This window comes from Homo sapiens, chromosome 2 (genome assembly GCF_000001405.40).
Source record: "Homo sapiens chromosome 2, GRCh38.p14 Primary Assembly".
In the NCBI taxonomy this organism is placed as follows: domain Eukaryota; kingdom Metazoa; phylum Chordata; class Mammalia; order Primates; family Hominidae; genus Homo; species Homo sapiens.
In genome coordinates this window covers 119,850,315-119,875,455 of record NC_000002.12, presented here as the reverse complement: position 1 = coordinate 119,875,455, position 25,141 = coordinate 119,850,315, and the positions used below count along the sequence as shown (strand labels likewise).

At 36.8% G+C, this 25,141-nt stretch overlaps 1 protein-coding gene across 1 annotated transcript in view, besides 1 other annotated feature; it reads right to left on the bottom strand.

Moving 5' to 3' along the window:
- Nucleotides 1–25,141, bottom strand: part of PTPN4 (protein tyrosine phosphatase non-receptor type 4) — a 224,978-nt gene that overhangs the window by 109,444 nt on the left and 90,393 nt on the right. Inside the window, exon 3 of the mRNA NM_002830.4 lies at nt 12,813–12,920. Coding sequence (NP_002821.1) covers nt 12,813–12,920 — 108 coding nt within the window. The remainder of the gene's footprint in view (nt 1–12,812; nt 12,921–25,141) is intronic.
- Nucleotides 14,202–14,251: a silencer, noted in NCBI's record as "silent region_11914". NCBI's record gives its function as "represses an Ori minimal core promoter by ATAC-STARR-seq in GM12878 lymphoblastoid cells {active_cell/tissue: GM12878}" and the evidence as "EXISTENCE:reporter gene assay evidence [ECO:0000049][PMID:35858748]".

Below are 25,141 nucleotides of genomic sequence, written 5' to 3'. Positions count from 1 at the left end.
AAATTTCAGATCAATTAATCTATTGAAAGCTTGTCTTCCTCATTCAGTTCTCCTTCAAAATATTCTGGTAAAAGAAATACAAACACATTTACATACACAGATGTGTCAAGCTGACATAGCTTAGAAGTACAAAGATAAGCACTGAGAAATTTAATTGCTCTCATCAATGATATCAGTGAGATAGGGTTAAGGTTCTTGGTTTAAACCAGGAAGATGGAACAGTGCTATAACAAGCACTACTGAATGGTAAAAATAGCATTCATTGTAAAAATCCATCAAGTTGCAAAACAAACTAGGAAAAAACATAATATATAAACAAGTTCTACACATCAATAAGAAAAAACTGACACTAATAGAAAAACAGGCAATGAATAAGAATGCAAGTTCACAATCAAGGAACTACAAATGGCATTTAAGTATATGACAAGATAGTCAATCTTGATCATAATTAGAGAAATACAAAAGTAATCTACATTGGGTTATTATTTTTCAACAGTAATATTGGGCAAAGACTAAAACGTTTGATGACACACACGTGAGAAGAACAGGCACTCTCATACATAGCTTCTGAAAGTATAAATTGTACCATCTCAATGGAGGATAACTTGGCAAAATTTATCAAATTATAAAATGCATATGCCAAGACTCAGCATTATTTTTATTATTTTTAGTGAGACATATTTCACGCACCACAAAATTTACCATTTTAACATGTATGTGTCATTATACTTTAGTATATTCCCTACGGTGTGCAACCATCATCACTATCTAATTCCAGAATATTTCCATCACCCTCAAAGGTAATCTTGTACCTATTCGCAGTCAGTCTCAATGTACCCTTCCCTGTTGCCCCTAACAATCACTAACCTACATTCTGTCTCTACAAATTTACCTGTTTTGAACATTTCGTAAGAATGGAATCATACAACAGGTTGCCTTTTGTGTTTGTCTGCTTTCACAGACAAGGTTTTCTTGGTTCATCTACATTGTGGCATGTAACAATAACTCATTCCTTTTTATGGCTGATACTGGGTTGTGTCTACTTTTCGACTATTATGAATAATACTGCTATGAACATTTGTGTACACATTTTTGTGTGAACACATGTCTTCAATTCTCTTGGGTACATGCCTAGGAGTAGTATTGTTGGGTCACAGGATAATTGTATATTTAACTTTTTGAGAAACTGCCAAACTTGTTTCCACAATGGCTGTACCTTTTACATCTCCAATATCAATGTATAAAGATTTCCATTTCTTCACTTCCTCATCAACACTATCTTTAAAAAATTATAGCCATCCCAATGAGTGTGCTGTGGTATGCCATTCCTTTTTATTGCTGAATATTTCATTGTATAGCTATACCATATTTGGTTTATCTAGTCATCACTTGATGGACATTTGGATTGTTCCCATATTTTAGTTATTATGAATAATGTTGCTATGAACATCTGTGTATAAATTTTTGTGTGGACATACATTTTCAAGTCTCTTCAATATATATCTGGGAGTGGAACTGCTTAAAGTAACTGTTTTAATACATCTTGAAATCACATATGATAAACCCTTAATTTTGTTCTTATATAAATGAGCATTGGGGTTATATCACTACCTATATTTAGTTACAGACTGCATTTTCTTTGCCAAGAACTGCTGTACTAGCTGGATTACTGTGCTACATCTGAGAAAAGCTGAACTGTCTGCAATACAATATATATGAATTTTAAATGTCATAATATTTTATTAGAAACTATAACTATCTAGTTAACACTGATAGCTAACAAGAGACGGTACTACATCATCAACCCCATTCATGAAGGAGTGTCTACTTAGGGATGGAGCTCTGTTTCTAATCTTTTCAAACCTTTCAAAGCGATTAGACATTGCTAATCGGTTACCTGATGACTCATGGTTTCTAATCTTTTCAAAGCCAATTTCCCATTCTTTTCCCTGGGAAGAATCTCTTGTTTACTCTATATACTGCTTCACATGACAAAGTTAATTTTTGTATCTGCCAAAACGTAGTAATAAAATTTCTACATTTGAGATCTGCATGGTTTCTACTAAGAAATCCACTGGTTATTTCATTGAGGTGCACTTCTATGTGACAAGTCACTTTTCTCTTTCTCTTGCTGCTTTCAAAACTCTTTCGACCATTTTCATTGTACTTGGAGTTCAGTGAGCTTCTTCTATTTGCATATCTGTATCTTTCTGCAAATTAGGGGAAAGATACATGGCAAGACCACGTCTCTACAAAAAAAACAACAACAACAACAAAAAAAAAAAACCCAGAAAAAATTAGCCAGATGTGGTAGTGCATGCCTATAGTCCTGGTTACTCGGGAGGCTAGGAGGTTGAGGTTCAGTCTGAGAGGCTGAGGCTGCTGTAAGCCATGATCGCACCACTGCACACTGCACTCCAGTCTGGGTGACAGAGCAAGACCTTGTTTCAATCAATCAATAAAGTAATTTAACTCCAAACTGTTCAGGGTTCCTATTGTAAATAGCCTTGGTCTTAAAGAAAATATAATTTGGACAAATTACAGCCATATATTTATTTCTTCATCTGTTTCAGTATCACTTTGGAGATTAAATTCTAGCTTATATTCTTTTCCACAGTATCAAGTTTTAGATGTATACTTTTTTCCCTTAACTCATTCATTATTTGAAGCCTATTTTCTATAAGGCACTGTGTCAGGTACTGGGGTGATATAAGTTCAAAACATGGTCCCTATCCTCAAAAACTGGTAAGTCATGAAACATATCACCTCAAGAAAGTATCATCACTGCTACAGATAAAAAAGAAAGAGGTAAACTGTACCTGGGGAGTAGTGGTAGTCAGGAAAGGCTTGAGAGGGAAAGTGACTTTTACTCTGAGTCTTAAAAAATGTGAAGGTAAGAGGGGTAGGGTAAAAGATGTGACGGGAGTGAAGGATGTGAGTTAAAGGTAAGATATTTCAGGAAGAGAAAGTATTTATGCCCAAGATAGCAAAGATCAAGTACTGCCTATTTCATCTGTAAAATATTCCATTTTCTATCCATTTTTAGAAATCTTTAGCTGTAATACCTGCCATTACTCATCTTAATGGTAGCTGTATACATTGTGATATTAACCTTTTGTTTCTCTTATAAATCAATCCTATTTCTTACTAGAAATTAAGTTAGAAACTTGGGAGGAAGAGCATCTCCCAAATAAAGTAATTCTGGAGAGTCACTAGATCCAGTAAAAAACATAGGGTTTAGTAAAACAGTAGAAAGAAAAGGTGTGGAAAACTTGGATTTGATCCCAACTTTACCTTTCACTACGCTAAATAAAATAAAATTAATAACAAAAACAATGGCTAAATAAAATTAAAACAAAATTTAATAAAATTAAAAACAATACTGGAGAACTAGTGGGGTTCAATAAATCCTCGTCTGAATATTTTCCCACTACAGCTCCCCTTTCACCTCTCAAGTCTTTCATCATTTTATTATAAAATCAGGTGATTTAACCAAATGGGTGACTATGAATGAGTCAATGAGTATCAGACTCGCAAAGGGACTTTCTTCAGATATTTAGGTGAATAGACCAACTAACCATGAATCTGTAGGCATAGGGTGTCAGCAATTTTTTTATGTTTCCCAAGGAATTTGGAAGCATAGCCAAGTTTAGATGAATGATCGTTTATCCTTTTGTTTTCTATAATAAAATTATTACTAAAATAACAGTATCAATATAAAACATTCAAGCTTTTTTTTTCTCTCTCTCTTTCTCACACACATACAGAGCAAAAAAACATAAAAGTCCTTTATTATGGCTCTTCCAATTCTACTCTTCCATCCAAAGAGGTAGCCTCTGTTCACATACCAGCAAGTATACCTTATAATGCTGTGGTACACCTGCATACAAGCATTTAATAATGTTAGATGCTGAACTTAGTGCAGACACCCAATCAGCATAGTGCACTATAGTCCAGAACTCCTGAGCGCAAGTGGTTCTCCTGCCTCAGCCTCCCCGGTAGCTGGGACTGCAGGCATGCACCACCATGCCCAGCAGATGTCACATACTTTATTCAACTATTCTCTTATGAGGGTTTCAGGTTTTTCCATTACTATTTCCTATTAAAAATAGTGTTGCAAGAGAAATTCTTCCATACAATAATTTTTAAATTTTGATATATGCTGCCATCTGCCTTCCAAAAACACTTTTTCACTTTACACTCTCACCAACTGTCTTGAGAATGCACATTTCCCGAGCCTTTGCCAGAAACAGGTAGTGTGAATCTGTATTTTTGCTAATCTAGTATGCAAAGAGTGTTATCATTGTAATTGGCATCTCTCTGATTAACCAGTGAAGCTGAATATCTTGTCACGTTTGTTATTAATAGTTACTCTTCTTCTGTTCATGCTATCTTCCCATTTTTCTATTGGGTTATGTGACTTTTATTTATTATTTGTAGAAGCTCTTCTAGATTTTAATATTATGTTACATATGTTGCAAGTATTTCCCTCCAGTTGGTATTTTGTCCTCAGTGTATACTCTGTATGTTATGCAGTGAAATCTATCAACATTTCCTTTACAAATGCAGGAACTATTGTTGCCTAGGATGATCATAACAAATATTATTAAAAATGTTTCCAACTCTTACCCAACTATACTATTGTTTTACATTTAAATTTACATTGGAATTTATTTTTATATATGGTATCTGTTAGGAATCTAAATACATATTTTCTCATCTTTAACCAATTGTTCCAATACCTATCTTGAATACCATCATTATAATAAACTATGTTTCATATAGACAAAAATTGATACTTGGGCTGTTTCTTCTACCCCATTGACTTATATCGATACTAAGAACACACTATTTTAAGTACTATGTCATCATATTCCATTTTTATACCTGTTAGGACGAGTTGATTATATTTTATATATCTGGCTAAGTTTATCCAGATTCTCTTCCAGAGGAAGTTGAGGATCCTATTGTCAAATCTTCTCCCCAAAAATTCCATTCAGATACTAACCAGCAATACCACTGGTTTTACCAATGAAACTGAAATAGTGCTGACATCTTTTACAATACTGAGCATTCCTCATTATGAGCATGGTGTGTCTCTATTTATTCATAATTTCTATTATATCTTCCTGCATAGTTCTATATTTTCTTCATATGGCTCTTGACACTCCTGCTTAAGTTTATTCCTAGATGTTTAATGAATCTGGGTTTTAAAAAAAACGTGATTTGCTATTTTTTGGTGTATGTCTCCTAAATGGTATATAAAAAGGTACTGATGTTTGTTGAGCTCTAAGTCTTACCAGTTATAATAGTTTTCCAAATGATTCATTTGAGCTTTCAAGGTGGATAATCATATTGCTAAAGAAAAATGAGTTCTTCCCCCAACAAACATACCCTAACACACAGCTTTATTCTGCAGGGAACTGTATCTGCTGCCCTCTGTTCAATTAGAAATGGGGAAAAGAGGAGGCCAAGTGGCCTCAAATAGTTTCTCAGTTAATCACTTTGATACCCGTACTACATTACCCAGAAATCTTTCCTCTTCAACACCTTTTTGGTAAGTTTTCCTCTGGTTTGACTCTTCCACCAATCCTGTCAACACTGAATGTCAACATTCGATCTTTTAAAAAATCTTGAAAATTTCTTGTCTGCTGATGGCATTCATTTTTATTCTCTGTGTGTTCATGAGTGTACTATTTGACACTGGAAAGCAACCAAAAGTAGGCAGAAAGAGGAGGAAAGTCTACTCTTGAAAAACAAAAACTGCAAGGGCTGAGATATATATTAGCAATCTTTGCCTACGGGCAAGTTCAAATCCTACACAGGCAGAGGACATCCTTACTAACTTGAGGTGTCAGAGGACAGAGTTTAGGAATGGGGGTGGGGGAAAAACAGAAAATTGAGGAGGAGATTCTGAAAAGGAGAACTCAGAAAGAGGATTAGCTCCAAACTCTGGCTGACAGCTGAACTATGCATGTATAGTTAGACTCCAGAGTCCCAAGAAAGAGGAGTTTGAACCTTTAAGAAATAAGTAGAGATACTGCTCCCAAATTGGACACAGAATACAGACTGTGGGTCCAGCCAGGTTAACTGCACCCATTTGCAATATGCAGTTTAAATTGTGACAAATGTGTACAGCCAGGTAACCACCACCATCCACAATCAAGATATTTCTATCACCCTAAAGTGTTTCCTGTGCTTCTTTGCAATCAGTCTGCCAAATCCTAGGCAACCACTGATCTGCTTTTGGTCACTATGTGTCAGTTTAGCTTGTTCTGTAAGTTAATATAAATGGAACCATATAGTGTTCTACTCTATAGATACACAGCAGTTACTTTTCATCCCTTTGTTTATTGATGGACATTAAAGTTAATTCACATTTGGGCTATTATGAATAAAACTACTGTGAACATTTGTATACAAGGCTTTATGAGACATGTTTTCATTTCTCTTGGATAAATAGCTAAAAGTGGGATTTCTCAGTGGTATATGCCGAGACCAGCTCAGTCGGGGAGACCCTAACCCAGTGGTGCTAGAGGAATTAAAGACACACACACAGAAATATAGAGGTGTGAAGTGGGAAATCAGGGGTCTCACAGCCTTCAGAGCTGAGAGCCTCGAACAGAGATTTACCCACGTATTTATTAACAGCAAGCCAGTCATTAGCATTGTTTCTATAGATATTAAATCAACTAAAAGTATCCCTTATGGGAAACGAAGGGATGGGCCGAATTAAAGGAATAGGTTGGGTTAGTTAACTGCAGCAGGAGCATGTCCTTAAGGCACAGATCACTCATGCTATTGTTTGTGACTTAAGAATGCCTTTAAGCGGTTTTCCGCCCTGGGTGGGCCAGGTGTTCCTTGCCCTCATTCCGGTAAACCCACAACCTTCCAACGTGGGCATTATGGCCAACATGAACATGTCACAGTGCTGCAGAGATTTTGTTTATGGCCAGTTTTGGAGCCAGTTTATGGCCAGATTTTGGGGGGTCCTGTTCCCAACAGTATATATTAAATCTATGTTTAATTTTACAAGAAAATTTCCAACTATTTTTCAAAAAGTGGTTGTATCATTTTAAATTACCACAAGCAATTTTATCAGTTGTTCCACATCCTTGTCAACATTTGGTATTGAAATAATTTTTAATTTTAATTATTCTAGTGGATATACTACTTCACTGGATATACTACTAGTGGGTATACTACTTCTAGAGGAAGTACTACTTCATTGTGGTTTTACTTTGCATTTCCTGGATGCATCTTTAAATATTTATTAAATGTCCTTTGTCAGAGTAAAAAGGTTCCTTTCTTTTCCAAGTTTAGTTGGGTTTTCATTATGAATGGCTGCTGAATTTTATTCTCTGTAATTTATGCCTCAGTTACATTGATTTAGGGGAAAAACTCAACAGTATACTTGATGGGGAAACAGTATCTTCGGTATTTTCCTCTAAGATCAGGAACAAGACAAGGTAGTCTGCGCCTATCACTTCTATTCATCTTTGCCCTGCTGGCTTCGGCCAGTGCAATAATGAATTAAAAAATGAGAAAAACAAAAAGGATAAAGACTTGTAAGGAGGAAGTAAAACTGTCCCTATTTACAAAAGACATGATTATTTACACAGAAAATCCTAAGGAATCAATGAAAACAACTACTAACAGTAATGTGTATTAGCAAGGTCTCAAGATACAAGGTTAATATACAATCAGTTAGTTATCTTGGGGTTTATCCCAGAAACACAAAGTTGGTTTAAAAATTGAAAATCAATGTAATTTACCATATATCTACATGATAATCTAGGTACAAAATTCTATAGAATTTACAAAAAGCTACTAGAATTAAGTGAGTTCAGGAAGGGTACAGAATACAAAATCAATACACAAACTTAACTGTATTTCTATATGCTAGAAATAAACAATTTGAAATGAAAAAAGAAAACCAACAATACTATTTGCATGTTTTTTCTATTTACCAAGTTGCCAAAAGCAGAATTTGAAGTAGTAACCTTGATTTACCCCTTTTCCTCATGAACTCACTGTATCTGAATCAAACCAACCAGTCCTGTTGACTTTATCTCCTAACTGAATTATCTCTAGCACTCATCTTCTTTTCTTCATTCCCCACAGCCAACCACTACTTTCTTAGCAATTTCTTTATTCCAACAATCTCCCAACTGTCTATTAGTTGCTGGCTACACTATAACCACAGGGATATGTGTAAAATACAAGTCTTGTGTTTAGTCATATAAATAAATTCATAGGTAAGTTTGATTTTTATCATGGATTAAAAGGCTTTTCATGATATCATGTAATGCTCAAATCTCATCTTTTACCCCTTCTCCTTTTATTAAATAAAGGTTTAATACTAAAACTTTTTTCCAGTTCTTCAAATTCAGCATTCCTGTTTCTTCACTCTTGATCTCTGCATATGCTCCTGCTTCTTTCTTAAACACTTCTGTGCACCCCAGGTCTCTTTGCCATTCCCTCTCAAAATACAACAGAGTTAAACGAGACAAGAAGCAAAAAATTGCATTTAGCAGGCTACCAAAGAGGATTACACAACAGGCAAATAAGAGCTTGAATTAAGATATTACAGTGGAAACATATGAATAGATAAGAGAGAAATAGTGAAACATATAAAATAGATTTAAGCATTTTAGCAACCATGTATTCAAACATGGCTTGTTGAAATAACGGTCAGCCTGTATGTGACTTTTCCCATATTTACTCAAACCTAATGAAATAAATAATGTAAGAATTGAGTTATATAAAAGAAATCTTCAAAGGGTAAATAAACTTACCCCAAGAAAAATATGTCATAACTTAGTAGTGTTAATTAACAGCATACTGGGTTAGAGTAGTGATTTTCATAATATAGTTCCTTGGACTAGCAGCATTAGTGATACAAGGAAACTTATTTGAAAGGCAATTTCTTGAGTTCCAAAGTAGACCTTCTGATTCAGAAATCTCTAGGCATAGGTCCCAGAAATCTGTATTTTAAGAAGCCTTCCAGTTGTTTCTCATGCAAGCTCCAGTTTGAAAACCACAGGGTTAGGAGCTATGCAAAGAGGAGTAAACCAGTCAAATATCATAAACCAACAAAAACTACCAGAAGAATGAACCTGCAGAAAGATCAGGCCAACAATAATTAATAATCTACCCTCTATCCTACTTAAGAGCAGTATAATTCAATTTAATAGGGAAAGAAACAGTAAATGCACAGGAATAATATAATCTCAAGCCTCTGTTAAATAGCATGCTGATAAAGACCACTAAGAAAAAGCCACCTTTGACTGCTCATAAAATTAAAGAAATAATGCATAATGAATTATAACCACAATATTATTTTCCTCATTTATTCAACATACATTTACTATTACTACTACAACAAGATATTATGCTAAAAGCTAAAACTGTGATAAACAGGCTTTAAATTAAAGCAGGAGAAATTCTGAAAAGTCAAAGCTTCAAGTAATTTTCTTTGTTGCACTGGAACTCATTACCAGGGAAGATTCTAAAGGAAAAGACCGTCAGCTATTATTCTGTATTTGTTATTTCATACTTAGGAGAAAAAAACAAAATGCTAGGTGCCTTTTAAGTTTATCAATTATAAACTCAATTACATTAATTTCAATGTCTAAGGCAACAGTTCTAATTCTCTAAAACTAATATATAAAAATACACATATACACATAATATATACATACATGTGCATATGTATATGTAACATACATAAGTTTTAAGATTTAAAAATTATGAGCTAAAGATAGGTGAGAATTAATTCTTGTAGAATCTTAGCAAATTCCTTTGGATCACTGATAGTAATTTTATTATATGGTTACCTCCTCTCCTTAATATGTTCATTTACTCTGTAAATCCTATGCATCTATATCATCATCACTTGGGAAGCAACATCATATGGTAGAGAGTACAGGCTTTGAAGTTAGATCTGAGTTCAAGTCCTTTCTCAGCTACTTCACTAATTTGCGTGACATTAAACAAATTAGTTGACTTCTATAAGTATTAGTTTTTCATCTTTAAAATGATTTTAATGACACTTTCATCATAAGTGAGGAAAGTATTGTGAGAATAAAATGGAATATTATTTAGTTGATTAACAAATTCACAGCAGATGTTTTATAAATGATACTCCCCTACTCCTTTCTCTTGAAGCATAGCATCTTTTTCCTTCAGTCCGTTAATTATCCTCAAAGCCTTAATTTCACATTGACAACTAGAATTGGAACTCTACTTACAAGATTTGTGCTCTTGACAACTAGAAATGGGACACTGTTTATAAGATTTGTGCTCTAAAGATCTTTCTGTGGACACATTTTGGCATCTCAGAAATTCTTCCAAATATTTAAATAATGAAACTGCAGTGCAGTGGACAAGACTAGCATGGGGAGTTAGGAGATCCAGGTCCTAGTTTCACTAATGCCAGGAAGTAGCTTTGGATTGGGATAATGTCTTATGAAAAATTAGAGTGTGAGGCTAGATAATCTCTAAAGCCTCTTTTGGACCTTTAAAATTCTATGATTCTAACTTTTCTGGAAGAATTACTTTGAATCATAAACAACTGGACTCTTGGAACTTGGAATGTATCTTATTTGAGAAGGAATACTCAAGACAGAAAGACAAAGAAAGAAAAAGTAGGAGACAGCAAAAAGATCAATCTAGCTCCAAATACCTGTTTCCCTACATTCATTCTGGTGTAATTAGCCCTACATCTTTTTGTATATGATATGTCTTTTTGTATACAAATTTATGTGATAGAATTTTTATCTCTTGTAGTATACATGATCTCGATATTAATCCTTCTGGAGTACTTCCTGAAAAGGACTGTTTTCATATTTATGGTAGTGACTACAGTGGTGAGTCACTGGTCTCTTCCTCTTTTGTCATCTTGTCACTTACCCCGTCAATCTAATGCCAGCCTACAGCTACAGGGCCTGACTTATGAGGGTCAGCAAGAGCTAAGAATTATCTATTTTTTCTCTTCACGAGGTATACTTAATGAGGTATAACAGTCACCTTTCAGGTATTTGCTTGGCTCACAATTTGCCTTTCTGGTAAGAAAGGAAAAAAACCTTATATCTGAGGAATAGGAGCACCTTTAAATGATCAGGGCAAGAAAGGCATTTAAAAAGTAACAGCAGTCACATCTCACTCTCCCTTCAGCTACATAGTTACCTCTTGAAGCTACTTGCTATGTGGGCTGCAGACTGAAGCCAAGTAGCCATAAAATGTTATACACCCTATAGTTCAACCATGTATAGCCAATCGCTAACCAATGTTATTTCTGTAAGTCAATGAGAATTCCTGAAGAACAATTTTTGCACTTACTCACTCTCCTGAGTGATCCTCTTTATTCTTTAAAAACTTGAACCTTTCTTATGTTCTCCAGAGCACTCTCCAAGGCAACTTGCAAGTGTATCCTGGGCTGAGGTCCTCAACCTTTGCACTTGAATAAACTCTCTTTAAACTACATTCTGACCCTTTTGATTATTTTAGGTTCAACCTGGGAAAGGCTGCATTACTGACATTTCTACTCACTTCCATTTTTACATGGGTTTATTTATCAGGAAACAACAGTATAACTCTAGGCCCCTGAAGAAGCTCAAGTGGTCTAGTGAAGGCATCAAAGTATGAGGAAAGTTTATTTTAATTTTAGTTCAGTATAAAAGCATTTATTTTCACTGAAACTAGCTGGCCCTTGGTTTGTTTTTCTTTGTGTCATCCTCGTATTTTTCCATGACTGGTTTGTAATACAAAATCAGTAAATGATGTCAAAAAAATAAGTGGTAGTATTTAACGTTTGATATATAATTCCCACTAGCTATTCATTCAGAGAATGAAGATCCCAACCATGAGAGAGAGGAAGAAAAAAACAAACCAACTTTTCTCATAAACATTATTTGTATTTTCTATAGCCCTTCTATTAATATAGCCTTATAAACAGATTTCTAAAACATTAATCCAGAACCATTTCTTCAGCCTCCTAATCTTTCTAAAAGTATACAAAATATTCCCTTCAAAATGGAGATCCTCTTACACTAATCAAAAGAATATACTTTATTGCAGAAGTCCCTCACTGTATAAGCATATAAATTTACAAAGAATTCAATCAGAATTTGCTTGTATACCCTTTATCTCGGTTCAGAGTAAGGTATATCCTTTAGTGCATTTTATAACACTTAATTGTCAAAGTAAACATTTCTATTATTCATCACATGCTATCTTCTATTTCTATGATGTGATCTATCTAATTAAAAGAACCACAATTGCAATTACTGAAGAATAAGTAAAAATCCAAGAAATTTAATGCCAAATAATTGTACAGCTCTGAAATTTAATCTCTATCTTATTTGTGAGGGTCTCTGATGAAATTTGGAAATTTGACATTGAATAAATTAAGAATTTTTATTAGAAATAGCTCTCTATAAATACAATAAAAAACTAATTTTACTTTAGTGCAGACTAATTTATATACATCTGAAGGTATTTTAACCTTTATGCCCAATTTCCTCTCTTTCAGTCAACAGGCATAAATTGGATTTACTTTTTAGTTGTCTGAGACACATAATTAATGAAAGTGACATTACCTGACATAATTATGAAAACCTTAAAGCTAATAACTTCTGAAAGATTAAAATGTCAAGAAAAGAGGAACAAAAGCAAAAGAATTACCTCTATTTAAGTCAAGTAAAAAAAAAACTCATCAAATCAGTGAACACTGTAAATCAGAAAGGACTTTCTACACTAAACTGAGAGGAAAAACTAAATGAAAATGAAAGACAAAATCTTACACTTACTGGGTTATCTGTGGAATCATCAGCCAACTGTAAACCAAAATAGTCCTGCTCAGTCAAATCTAGATGCTTGAAGACGACATCCAACAAGACTTGCCCCTGATCATGTTTCTGTAAAAAAAAAAAAAAATTGAATGAAATCAACTTTGATAGGTTACATTCTTCACATTTTTTAACCTGGTTGACTTTTGTCCTCATCTATTAACCCATTTATGCCAGAGGTAGCAAACGTTTTTTGTGTGAAAAATCAGGCCTTGGCAATGACCTTGAGCAGTAGGATATAAATAACTCCCATAAGCTTAGCAAGCCAATAATGGAGCACTAGGCATAAATGGGTTAACTTGGTAACTGTTTTCATACCAATGACTTGGTTGAGAAAAAAGACTTCACATGTGACACAGCACTTTTAGAAAACAACCTGACCTTAGGCAAACTGGTTTAAAGAGCATATAATAAATATGAAAATACAAAGAAACATTTGATTGAAAATACTTTTCACTTTCAGGCTATCACGATATTTTTTTAGTTTATATTATTGCCACATTAACTCATGCATATATCTATATCATTTTGTTATGCCTTTTATTCTTATATTTAAATTGTGACTGGAAAGTGACATATTTGGCTAAATATTACTTAAAATATAATTTTGTATTATAATGCCATAAAAGGGGAACGAAGATGGTAACAATTATTTATAGCAAACTGATAAAGGATTGCTAATATTTTCATTGCCAAAGTACTCAGAGAACTTTAGAAAACTATCTCATTTTAACCTCATACTAATTCTATCATGTAGGCATTAAAGAGTAAATACAACTTCCCCAAGTTCCAAAGCTGTTAAACTGTGGTACAAAAGGCATGATTAGATAATCCCCCTCCAATAAAAAATATAACTTATGAGTAAAAACAGACAAATGATCAACATGTTCAGTTAAAATAAAAAAAGAAAATGGGAAATTATAATGACATGCCATGGGCAAACAACCCCCAAAATAAAATCCAATGATAAAAAATAAAGACAAGAAATACTTATTGCTGCTAACATGGTAGAAAGATATCTGTTGGGAAAGCAATTTGACAAAACAAGCAATAACAATATCAACTACTCTGGCATCTTAACATAAGTAGCAAACAAAAGCTAATACTGGAGGAAACTTCTATACCTATCAATAAATTCACTAGAGAAGTTTATTCTCGTTACATTTATATACAACATATATTAGAAAAATATGTGCAATGGTTTGAGTTTGTCCCCTAGAATTCATGTGTTGAAAATTTGGTCCCTGGTATGGTGATTTTGAGAGACAGGACCTTTAAGAGGTGATTAGGTCATTTAGAAGGATTAATGTCACATTCCAGGGACAAGGTTAATTCTCAAGGGAGCGAGTGAGTTCTCACTATCACAGTACTAGATTAATTACCACAAATGGGTTGGTATAAAGTGAGGCTGCCCCTGGAGTTCTATCCCTTTTACATGCACCCACTTCCCCTTCTGCTTCTCTGTCATGTTATGACAGCACGCAACCCTCAGAACAGACCAGATGTGGCCATCTGATCCCGGACCTCCCAGCCAAAATAAACTTTTTTTTTTTTTTTTGAGATGGAGTTTCGCTCTTGTTGCCCAGGCTAGAGTGCAATGGCACAATCTGATCTTGGCTCACTGCAACCTCCGCCTCCCACGTTCAAGCGATTCTCCTGTCTCAGCCTCCTGAGTAGCCAGCATTATAGGTGCATGCCACCACGCCCAGCTAATTTTTGTATTTTTAGTAGAGCCAGAGTTTCATCATATTGGTCAGGCTAGTCTCGAACTCCTGACCTCAGGTGATCTGCCTGCCTCAGCCTCCCAAAGTGCTGGGATTACAGATGTGAGCCACCGCGCCTAGCCAATAAACCTCTTTTTAAAATAAATTACCCAGTCTCAGGTATTCTGTTATAGCAACAGAAAATGGATATGGTAGAGAATAGCAATATATTTTACCACTAGTTTTTCTTCTCATTAGCTATAGCAGTTTAGAAGCTTCCAGGTACCAGTCAGAATTCAAACTTATGGATGAAACACTAAGGACATTTTTTTTTCATATAATGGAAAGTACAGAGGCACAAAAGACTCCAGCGCAAGCTAATTTGGCAGATGAGGGACATTAAGACTAGGTTTCTTTCCATCTTTCTCATCTGCATTCCAAGTGTTGGCTATATTCGTGAGCCTTTAGCAAGATGCTCACAGCAATTCCAAGATTCATATCCATGTGACAATGTTTAAAAGAACAAGCTTCCTTGTAAAAGTTACCTTACAAAGACTCTTATTGGCCAGAATTGGGTCAAATGGCTATCTGAAAAAACTCATCAATGATGGGAAGTATGTGCTTCAAACAGAGCTTCTCAATGTTGGCCCCCATTTAAATCGCCTGCAAATGTTTTATATACTGATACAGTCTACCTCCCTGACCTGTCTCTCATTCTGATTATATTTGTCTGGGGAAGAGAGCAAGCATTAATCTTTTTTAAAAGCTACTAAGGTGAATCCAATGTACCTTTGGTTGAAGAAACTATGCTTTCTTCCACTAAATGTATGGATTTATTTCTGGACTCTAGACCTTGCATTTTCTTTTCACTTCCTATATATCACAGACTGGGTACTGTAGAATTCTGTTACCCAGAAATGCTAATAGGTGCTGATGAAAGAGCCCAAGAAAAGCCTGCTTTCTCTAGGAAAAGGACCAGATAAGGGTACGTGGTAGGACAGAAACCTGACAATGCCAAACTCAATGGGAAAAAAACTGAGCCCTTCTCTACTAGTGTCCACGGAAATCAAATAAGAAGCCTAGTTTCATGTGCCACCTGGTTTGAGCAGGCAGCAAGTGAAAAGCCTGAACTTATACCCACTTCCAAACAGTACCGAGTAGTACTTCATAATATCTCCTCTAGGGTGGTGTTAAGCAGAAGCAGAAAACATATCCTGAACTTTCACTTAGGCTTATTGGTAGCAGGAGGTGTTCGGCTTCCCCTATTGAGTTGGTACTAGGAGAAGCTGAAGAGGAAGCCTGGACTTCCACTGCTATCATCACATAGCTGTAGCAAGTGGTGTCTCCCAAACAGACAGGAGGAAGAAGATTCAGGAGACAAGGTAGATGGAAAAAGGGATAGTTAAATCTTGAAATGTAATCCTGGATAGGACACTTAACAACGAACTGACTACATGTAAAACTGACCAAAATTTAAAAAGTAAGCCAAGACCTGTATGCTACCAAGGTGACTCCCTACTACAAAGCCAATTAAATGCGATCCAAAGTCTCGTAACAAAATGTCTCAAATGTCTGAGATACTACCTAAAATCATTTATTATAGCAAGAGCTAGGAAAATCCCAACTAGAATAAGAAAACACAATCAACAGATGTCAACACCGAAAGGAATCAGATATTGGAATTATCTGACAAAGATTTGGAAGCAGTCATCAGAAAAAAATGTTTCAATGGAAGCAACCATTATGAATGCTGTTGAAAAGAAATTAGAAAAAAACAAAGATTATTTCAGCAAAGTAATAGAAGATATAAAAGAACCAAATGCAAATTATATAACTGAAAAATACAATAACAAATAAAAACTGACTAGATGGGCTCAACAAAAGAATAAAGATAAGAAAGAAAAAAAATAATCAATGAACCTGAAGAAAAAGCAATAGAAATTACTCAATAAGAACAACACAGAAAAGGGCCGGGTGCGGTGGCTCACACCTGTAATCCCAGCACTTTGGGAGGCTGAGGTGGGCAGATTACGAGGTCAGGAGATCAAGATCATCCTGGCTAATATGGTGAAACCTTGTCTCTACTAAAAAAATATAAAAAATTAGCCGGGCATGGTGGCACGTGCCTGTAGTCCCAGCTACCCGGGAGGCTGAGGCAGGAGAACCGCTTGAACCTGGGAGGCAGAGATGGCACCACTGCACTCCAGCCTGGGCAACAGAGCGAGACTCCATCTCAAAAAAAAAAGAACAACAGAAAAAACAGACTGAAAAAATAAAAAGATGACAACAACCAGACTGTCAGCAACCTGTGGGACAAGAAAAAAATGAGGTGACATTCATTTCACTCCAGTATTTAAGAGATGAGGAAGAGTTTCTAGGATGATAAAATAATAAAACATTTGAGTATTTTGTTTGTAAAATAAAATTTTTACAAATTTGGCAAAAACAAAAATACAGATTCAAGAATCCAAGTGAACCCCAAACAAAATGAATCAAAATAAATCTACCTTATAACACATCATAATCAAAATACTAAAAACTAAACACAAAGTAAACATCTTGAAAGCAACTTAAAAAAAGAAATTACCAACAGGCAATGACAATTCAAATTAGAATGAATTTCTCATCTGCAACCAAGAAGGCCAAAAGGAAATGTGTTAGGCTGTTCTTGCATCACTGTAAATAAATATCTGAGACTGGGTAATTTATAAAGAAAAGGAGTTTAATTGGCTCATGGTTCTGCAGCCTGTATACACAGCACAGATATCTGTTCAGCTTCTGTTGAGGGCCTCGGGAAGCTTACAATCATGGCAGAAGGCAAAGTGGAAGCAGGCACATCACACGGCAAGAGCAGGAGTAAAAGAGCCAGTGTGGGAGGTCCCAGAATCAACCAGATTTCAGGTTAACTGAGCAAGAACTCGCATATCACCAAGGGCTTGGTCACAAGCCATTTATGAGGGATCTGCTCCCATGATCTAATTGCCTTCTACTGGGCTCTACCTCCAACACTGGGAATCACATTTCAGCATGAGATTTGGAGGGGACAAACATCCAAACCATATCAGGAAATGTACAAAAAAACTTCAAGTGCTAAACAAACAAACAAACAAAACCCAAGCCTGCCAATCCAGAATTCTATGTCAACAGAAAATACTCAATAGGAATGAAGAGTAAATGATAATATTCTCAGAAAAATTTAAGGAAATTATCACCAACAGATCATTTTCCTAAAATAATGCTCTAGGAAATATTACAGGAGTTATTAAGAAATTATTTTAGGCAGTTAGGGTAAGGAGTCCTCGGTAAGGTTTTTTTTTTTTTTCTTTTAGTAAAGGCAGCTCCTGAAACATTTCTTTTTTATTTTTTTTGAGATGGAGTCTCACTCTGTCACCCAGGCTGGAGTGCAGTGGTGTGATCTCGGCTCACTGCAACCTCCACCTCACTGGTTCAAGCAATTCCCCTGCCTCAGCCTCCCCAGTAGCTGGGATTACAGGCACACGCGACCAAGCCTGGCTAATTTTTTTTGTATTTTTAGTAGAGACGGGGTTTCACCATGTTGGCCAGACTGGTCTGGAACTCCTGACCTCAGGCAATCCGCCCGCCTTGGCCTCCCAAAGTGCTGGGATTACAGGCATGAGCCACCGTGCCCTGCACTTTTCTTTTCTAATAGAAAAGCAGCTTGAAAAGCAGCTACTTGGGAGGCTGAGAGAGAATTCCTTGAACCCGGGAGGCAGAGGTTGCAGTGAGCCAAGATCACACCACTGCACTCCAGCCTGGGTGACAGAGTAAGACTGTCTCAAAATAAAAAAAAATTTAAAAATATAAGTAAAAAAGAAATAGGAGATCTTAAGCTGAAAGTCACAAAAGATAAGTAACTGAGTAAGAACTACTCATTTTACTCAGTCTCACCCCTACCTCACCAAATACTTTTTGCCGTGTCTACCTCTCCTTTCAAGATTCATTGCCAAATATTAGAATTTCTTTTTGATGGAAGTTATTTACCATGCCACACCTGCAGGAATTGCTACATTCTACTATTTGCAGTAGGATTATAGACTGTAGCACCCTCAGGGTACAATATTGGACAGAGAATCTCAATTACTGTAGCACTTTGCTTAATTATTATCCTCCTAGTATGAATAACAGTTACTAACAGGAAGTAAACATGAGCGTTTTACTACCAATAAGTCTGTTAAGACTTCTTATCAGACTTAGTAATATGTCACATCCTTTGGCTCCTGCAGTATCAGCCATGGCCCATTTGGACAACAAGACTAATTGTTGGGTCTGTCCTAAGTGGTTTGCTCAGTTTAATGACACTAAGGAACCCTTCAATGACCCACAACTCATCATCGTAGGATTCCCTTTGTTAGCTTTACCTTTAACCCTTAAAGATTTATGAGGCATAAATGGGACATAGTATGGGGGCACTTTTAACTGGGTAACTAACTCCTCTCAGGAGAACACTCTTCCCCCAGTGCCAAACAACATTCTCCCCAAAGATAAATTTCACACCCTCAGGCTGGTAAAAGTTGATCGGGTAATAGCAAATGGCTCCCTCTGCTTTAAAAGCAGTAGGGAAGGACCATACTTGGGAGATCTCAGATACTGTAACATCACACTTGTAACTGCTGATAGTTCAAAGATGTGGGGAGGAAAACGCAACAGGAGCGATCTAAAAGGATGAGAAGCCCTAATGGGGGGCTTTCAGAATCTAGCCTCTCCTTCTGGTTGAAAGTCCCGATGGGAGTGATATGCTCTAAGTCACCATGTTGACTATAATGTAAAGAATTACATAGGCTGGGCGCGGTGGCTCATGCCTGTAATACCAGCACTTTGGGAGGCTGAGGTGGGCAGATCACAAGGTCAGGAGATCGAGACCATCCTGGCTAACACAGTAAAACCCCGTCTCCACTAAAAATACAAAAAATTAGCTGGGTGCGGTGGCGGGTGCCTGTAGTCCTAGCTACTTGGGAGGCTGAGGCAGGAGAATGGTGTGAACCCAGGAGGCGGAGCTTTGCAGTAAGCTGAGATCGCGCCACTGCACTCCAGCCTGGGCAACAAAGACAGAGTCTGTCTCAAAAAAAAATAATAATAAATAAAATAACACATGAGCCTTTCCAAACATTCCCCCATGGAATTCCAGACCCTTGTATGATGCTTGCTCATAGTAGCAGCTTACAGATCTGTGGGGGAACTGGAGACATCTGGACTGACAGCCCTTGCCACAGGATCATCTGAGATACTGGCCAGGGCATATTACGTCTCTGATTTTTCCAAACTCCACTTGTCAGGTGGATCCTTTTCACTTGGCATGTCAAATTCCAAACGGCATCGTAAATGACTATCCTAAAGACGGATATCCTTATCCCAAGGATGCCCCTATTATATGTAAAGAAGGGAAACTTCTAAGATATGAGAAAAATCTGCCGGTGTCTCTCACAAGCCACAACTTAGAACCGTCCCTTCAAGGAACAGGGCTATATTTTCTTTGCGGCTCCTGGATAAACTTAATCCTCCCAAGGCCTTGTAAGGGAACTTGTACTATAGTAGCAATAGTTCCCAACTTGTTATTTTTAAATTCTACCGAGACAGCAGCATCATCTGGGGACATCCCTAACTTAGGGTCTTTTCTGGAAACTGCATTATCTTGTATATGCTGGACAAAGAGATCTATCATTTCTATGCCCTTGTATGGAGATTTAACTGAAAGGGTAGACTGGGGAGGACATGCACGTGAAAACATCATCTTAGAAAAACCATGGATGAGAAATTCTATAGACAGAGGTCTATTCTGGTTTATGGGCACCCCTCTCCTTGAAAGATCAGTACTTAATATTTCCATTATGATACAACAAGGATGGAAAGCAACTCTAAGTGTCATAGAGGCACAACAGCAATCTACAGACTAAAAACCTCAGTAGTAGCACAAAATAGACAGGCCTTAGGTGTCCTCATAGCTGAAGTAGGAGGTACCTGTGCACTTTTAAATGAAACACGCTGTTTCTGGATTAACACCTCTAGTCAAGTAGAAGAAAACATACAGGTACTTAAAGATCAAATCAAAATAATTGACAGGCTAAGAAACAACGCAGGCTTCAGCCCGGGTGGCCATAATCCCTCTTTAATGAATTCCAATCATCTTTACGGAATTGGTTAGCTCTTTTATTAAGCCCCCTCTTGCTTACACATCTTGTATTCATATTTGCACCTTGTATACTCAATACTATAACTCAAATTGTTTTCTCTTGCCTAGAAGCAATCAAACTCCAAATGGTGCTGCAAAACGAACCATGCATGGGCAGGCCATTCTTCCAAGGACCCTTAGATCGACTCCAAGAGGAACCCTAGCTGCTCTTCCCCACTTGACGCCCCTTTTCAGCAGGAAGTGGCCAGAAAGAGTCGTCACCCAAAACTCTCTAACAGCAGTTAAGGTGACATCTCCTCAGGGGGGAATATTACGGGAGTTATTAAGAAATTATTTTACGCAGATAGGGTAAGGAGTCCTCAGTAAGGTTTTTTTCTTTTAATAAAGGTAGCTCCTCAAACATTTCTTTTCTAATAGAAAAGCAGCTTAAAAAGCCAGGCCAGCAAGCTTTGATATGCAAATGCTGGTGATTAGAAACTGGGTCCATTCAGCATGGTAATTCCTCCGTCTCCTCCTCATCACCATGTGTGCCAAGTGTCATGGCTGCCTCCAGATGACTCCGCGTGTGCAGGACATCATGGAGACCTGCATTTGCATATTAAAAGGCCAGGGTGGGAGAGCCAGGTTTTTCACAGACTATGTGAATGACACACTTGGTCAAACCAATGCCCTGAGCCCTATGCAAATCAGACACCGCCTCCTCCAGCCTCCTAATATAACAGACTGTTTTCTGGTGCACTCAGGGTTTTCCTCTTCGTTCAGAGCCCCGCTCCCTCTGTCTCTCTATGGGGGAGCCTTTTCCTTCTTTCTTATTAAACTTTCCACTCACTGAAACCTTGAAACCATGCCACATGTGTCCGTGTTGTTTATCTAATCGGTCTGAGACAAAGGACCCTGGTGTTCCTCTAGTCATCAGAGCCCTATCAGAAGTTCTCCAACCAGAAAGTAAGTAACATGAAGAAACTTGGAACAACAGAAAAGAAGAAAGAGTAATGAAATGGGAGAAATGGAAGTAAATAAAAAAGCCTATTCTTCTCTTTAAGAATAAATGTTTAAAGGCTAAAGCAAAAATTATACCTATTTGATGTGCTCCTAATGTATATAGAAAAATACTTAAACACAGTTATATTATATTGGGGAAAACACAATACTATTATAATTATATTATAAAGGGGGAAGGCAAAGGTCTCTAAAAGTAGATAAGGTTTTTATATGTACTCAAAGCGGTAAAATGTTGTTAATGATATAGCATAAAAAATTTTTAATGTACATTATAATAGCAAGAATCACCTAAAAAAGCTATCCAAAGACACTCAAAGACACTACTCTCAAAGACACTATAAAAACAAAAATGAAATTCTAGAAAATGCCACAAATCTAAGAAGAGCAGAAAAAGTAAAACAGAATTGAAAAGCAGAACAAACAGAAAATAAGGAAACAAATAATAAAGTCATAAAACTAGTAATAAAATGGCAGAAAACAACTTAAGCCATAGAAAAGGGACACATATAACTAGGGATGTCAACATCCCTCTCTCAGCAATTGCTAGATTAATCAGCAAAGATGTAAAAAAGAAAATCAGCATGGATATAAAAGAACCCAACAACATATTAACTAATAGGATTGACTGACATTTCTAGGGCACTCTACTCGACAACAGCAGAATATATGTTCTCTTCAAGCATCCATCAACATTCACAAGACAGGCTATATCCTGGGTCATAAAACAAACCTTACTAAATTCAGAATAACTGAAATCACATAGTGTGTTCTGTGACTATAATGAAATCAAAATAGAACACAGTGAGAGAAAGATAGGAAAAATTTGGAAATTAAACAACTTCTAAATAACCCACAGGACAAAGAGGACTCTGGAGAAAAACAAAACAAAACAAAACAAAACAAAAAAAACCACTGAACTGAAAGAAAACTCAACATATCAAAACTTGTGGAATAAGGCCAAAGCAGAGCTGAGAGGAAAATTTATAAACCTAAATGTTACATTAAAAAAAGGGAAGGTCTCAAATCAAGTCTAAGCTCCTACCTAAAGAAAATTAGAAAAAGAGAAAATAAACCAAAATTAGGGAATACAGGAAAGAGCAGAAATCTAAGTATTTGAAAACAAAAAATAGACAAAATTGGTAAAACAAAAATCTGGTCAATTTGAAAAGATCAATGAAATTAACAAACCTCAAACAAGACTAAAATAAAAAGGGGAAAAAAAGACACAAATCAACCTTTACAGAATTGAAGCTGTCAGAAACAAGTGCTTGGCGTAGCCAAAAGAAACCCGCACCTAAACAGAAAATTTCTCAGCAAGGCACTTTTACTTTGGTGGAAGGGTGTTGCCTGCACCTGTTACAACTGCAAGAGCACACTGAACAAAGGAAGGAAGGGGTTTTTAACCCTAACACAGCTCCTGTTTCTGTGTCCTTCCCCTGTTGGCTGGGGTCAGACCGCACAACCTAAGCTGATCCCCGTTGGCTTAGACCTAATTTTTTTTCCCAAATAGGGTAAACGCGCAATCTGCAAGAAAAGGAGAAGCGGAAAAAAGAAGGAGGTAGGGTTGATTTACAACTTATGACCAGGAAGTTGAGTCTTTGAAGAGGAATTTAGTTGTCCCAACAAAGCTGAGGATGTAACTACACACTCCAAAAACATTTACAAGGTAACAAAATAGGAGAAAGGAATCTATTAAGCATAAATTTGAGAACTTGGATGAAACAGACAAATTCCTCACAGACCAAAACCTACTAAAATTCACCTAATATGAAATAGATCATTTTAAAAGACACACAATAATTTTAAAATTGAAATCATAGTGTTACAGGTAGTTAGGCAGGCATAAGCCAGGCAGGAGAGGGCTCTCCCCATCCACCAGGAATGTCAGGTGATCAGGTGATGGTTCCACAATTATTGCATTGCCTCTCTAAAGATAATTCAGCAGCCGGAGGCAGGGACAGACAATCTCCTGATAATCTACAGCTGTTAACATTATAAAGTGTTAATTGAATGCAGGCCCCAGGGAGAAGTAAAAAGGGCATCCAATAAAATCTCAGGTGTTGGGTGAGGGAACCCAGGCATGTGCATTAAGAGACAAAATAGCAGAGCCTGGCTTTCCGAGGGCACACCACTGGAAAAGGGAAGAAAGCCTCAGATGGGCATGTATAAAACTTCCTAAATCCACTGCATGTGCTCACTTCCAAAGGGTAAGAAGGGCACTGTGCATATGGACAGCCCACCGTAAGGAAAGAATCATGGGGAAGGGTTCCAAGATGCCAGAAGTCCTATAAAGTCCTAGGATCACAGTTAAACGTGGCACTTGACCTTCTTGGTGCCCACTTGGGTCTCTTCCAAGTGCACTTTCCTTTCTTTCCTGTTCTAAAGCTTTTTAATAAACTTCCACTCCTGCTGAAACTTGCCTCAGTCTCTTTTTCTACCATATGACCCTCAGTGGAATTCTTTCTTATAAGGAGGCAAGAATTAAGGTTGCTGCAGACCTGTAAGGATTCACTGCCGGTAACTCGGGACACCTTCCACCGGTAACAACAGTTTCAAAGCAAACCTCCCCAAAAACAAATCTCCTGGGCCTGATTTCACTGGAGAAGTCTAAAAAATACAAATCATTTAGATGAGAATTAAGAATAATTCTACACAATCTTCCTCCAGAAAACAGTAGAGGATGGAACTTCCCAAATTGCTCTATGAAACCAGCATTGGCCTGATACTTAAACAGAAAAAGACAGTATAAAAGAGAAAACTACAGACTAATGTTTCTCATGAACACAGATGCAAAAATCCTCAAAAAATATTAATAGTAGCAAGGGAACTGAGCAATATCTCAAAAGGATTATACACATGACCAAATGGGGTTTTACCACAGATGCAAGGCTGGTTCAGTGCTTAAAAATCAATCAAGTAATAATGTACAGAAAGGAACTCTATGGATCTGCTCCTGAGCATAACAACTACTATTAGGGAAAATTATAAAACAAAAACAAAAAGCAAGAATTTAGTCTTGGAGAATTCACCTAAAAGAAAGTAACAAAGAAAACAGCATTTATTCCACAAAGTCTACTCAATCTCAGTAAAATCAGCAAGACCCTGTGGCACTTGAGCCACAACCCACTCCCTCCTTCTTCTGCCCTGGCCAATGTTCCACTCTGGGAAAATATGGCCAGGAAGATGCAAATCCCTTCTTCCCCAGATCCTAGTCAAGGGATATAGGAGAGGCAGACCACCAGCACTTCTCATGCTTCCCAGCAACATTATCACAATTTAAATTCCAGAATGGTATGTCAAAGAATCAAAAGCAACCTTCCTCCACCCAAAGCCTGCAGGGCAAGACTCTACCTCAGACACAGATGGTCCAGAATACTGAGCCCTAATCACCCTTGCCTCAGCTTACTCATAGGGCAGAAATTCCATGTAGGGAGAGG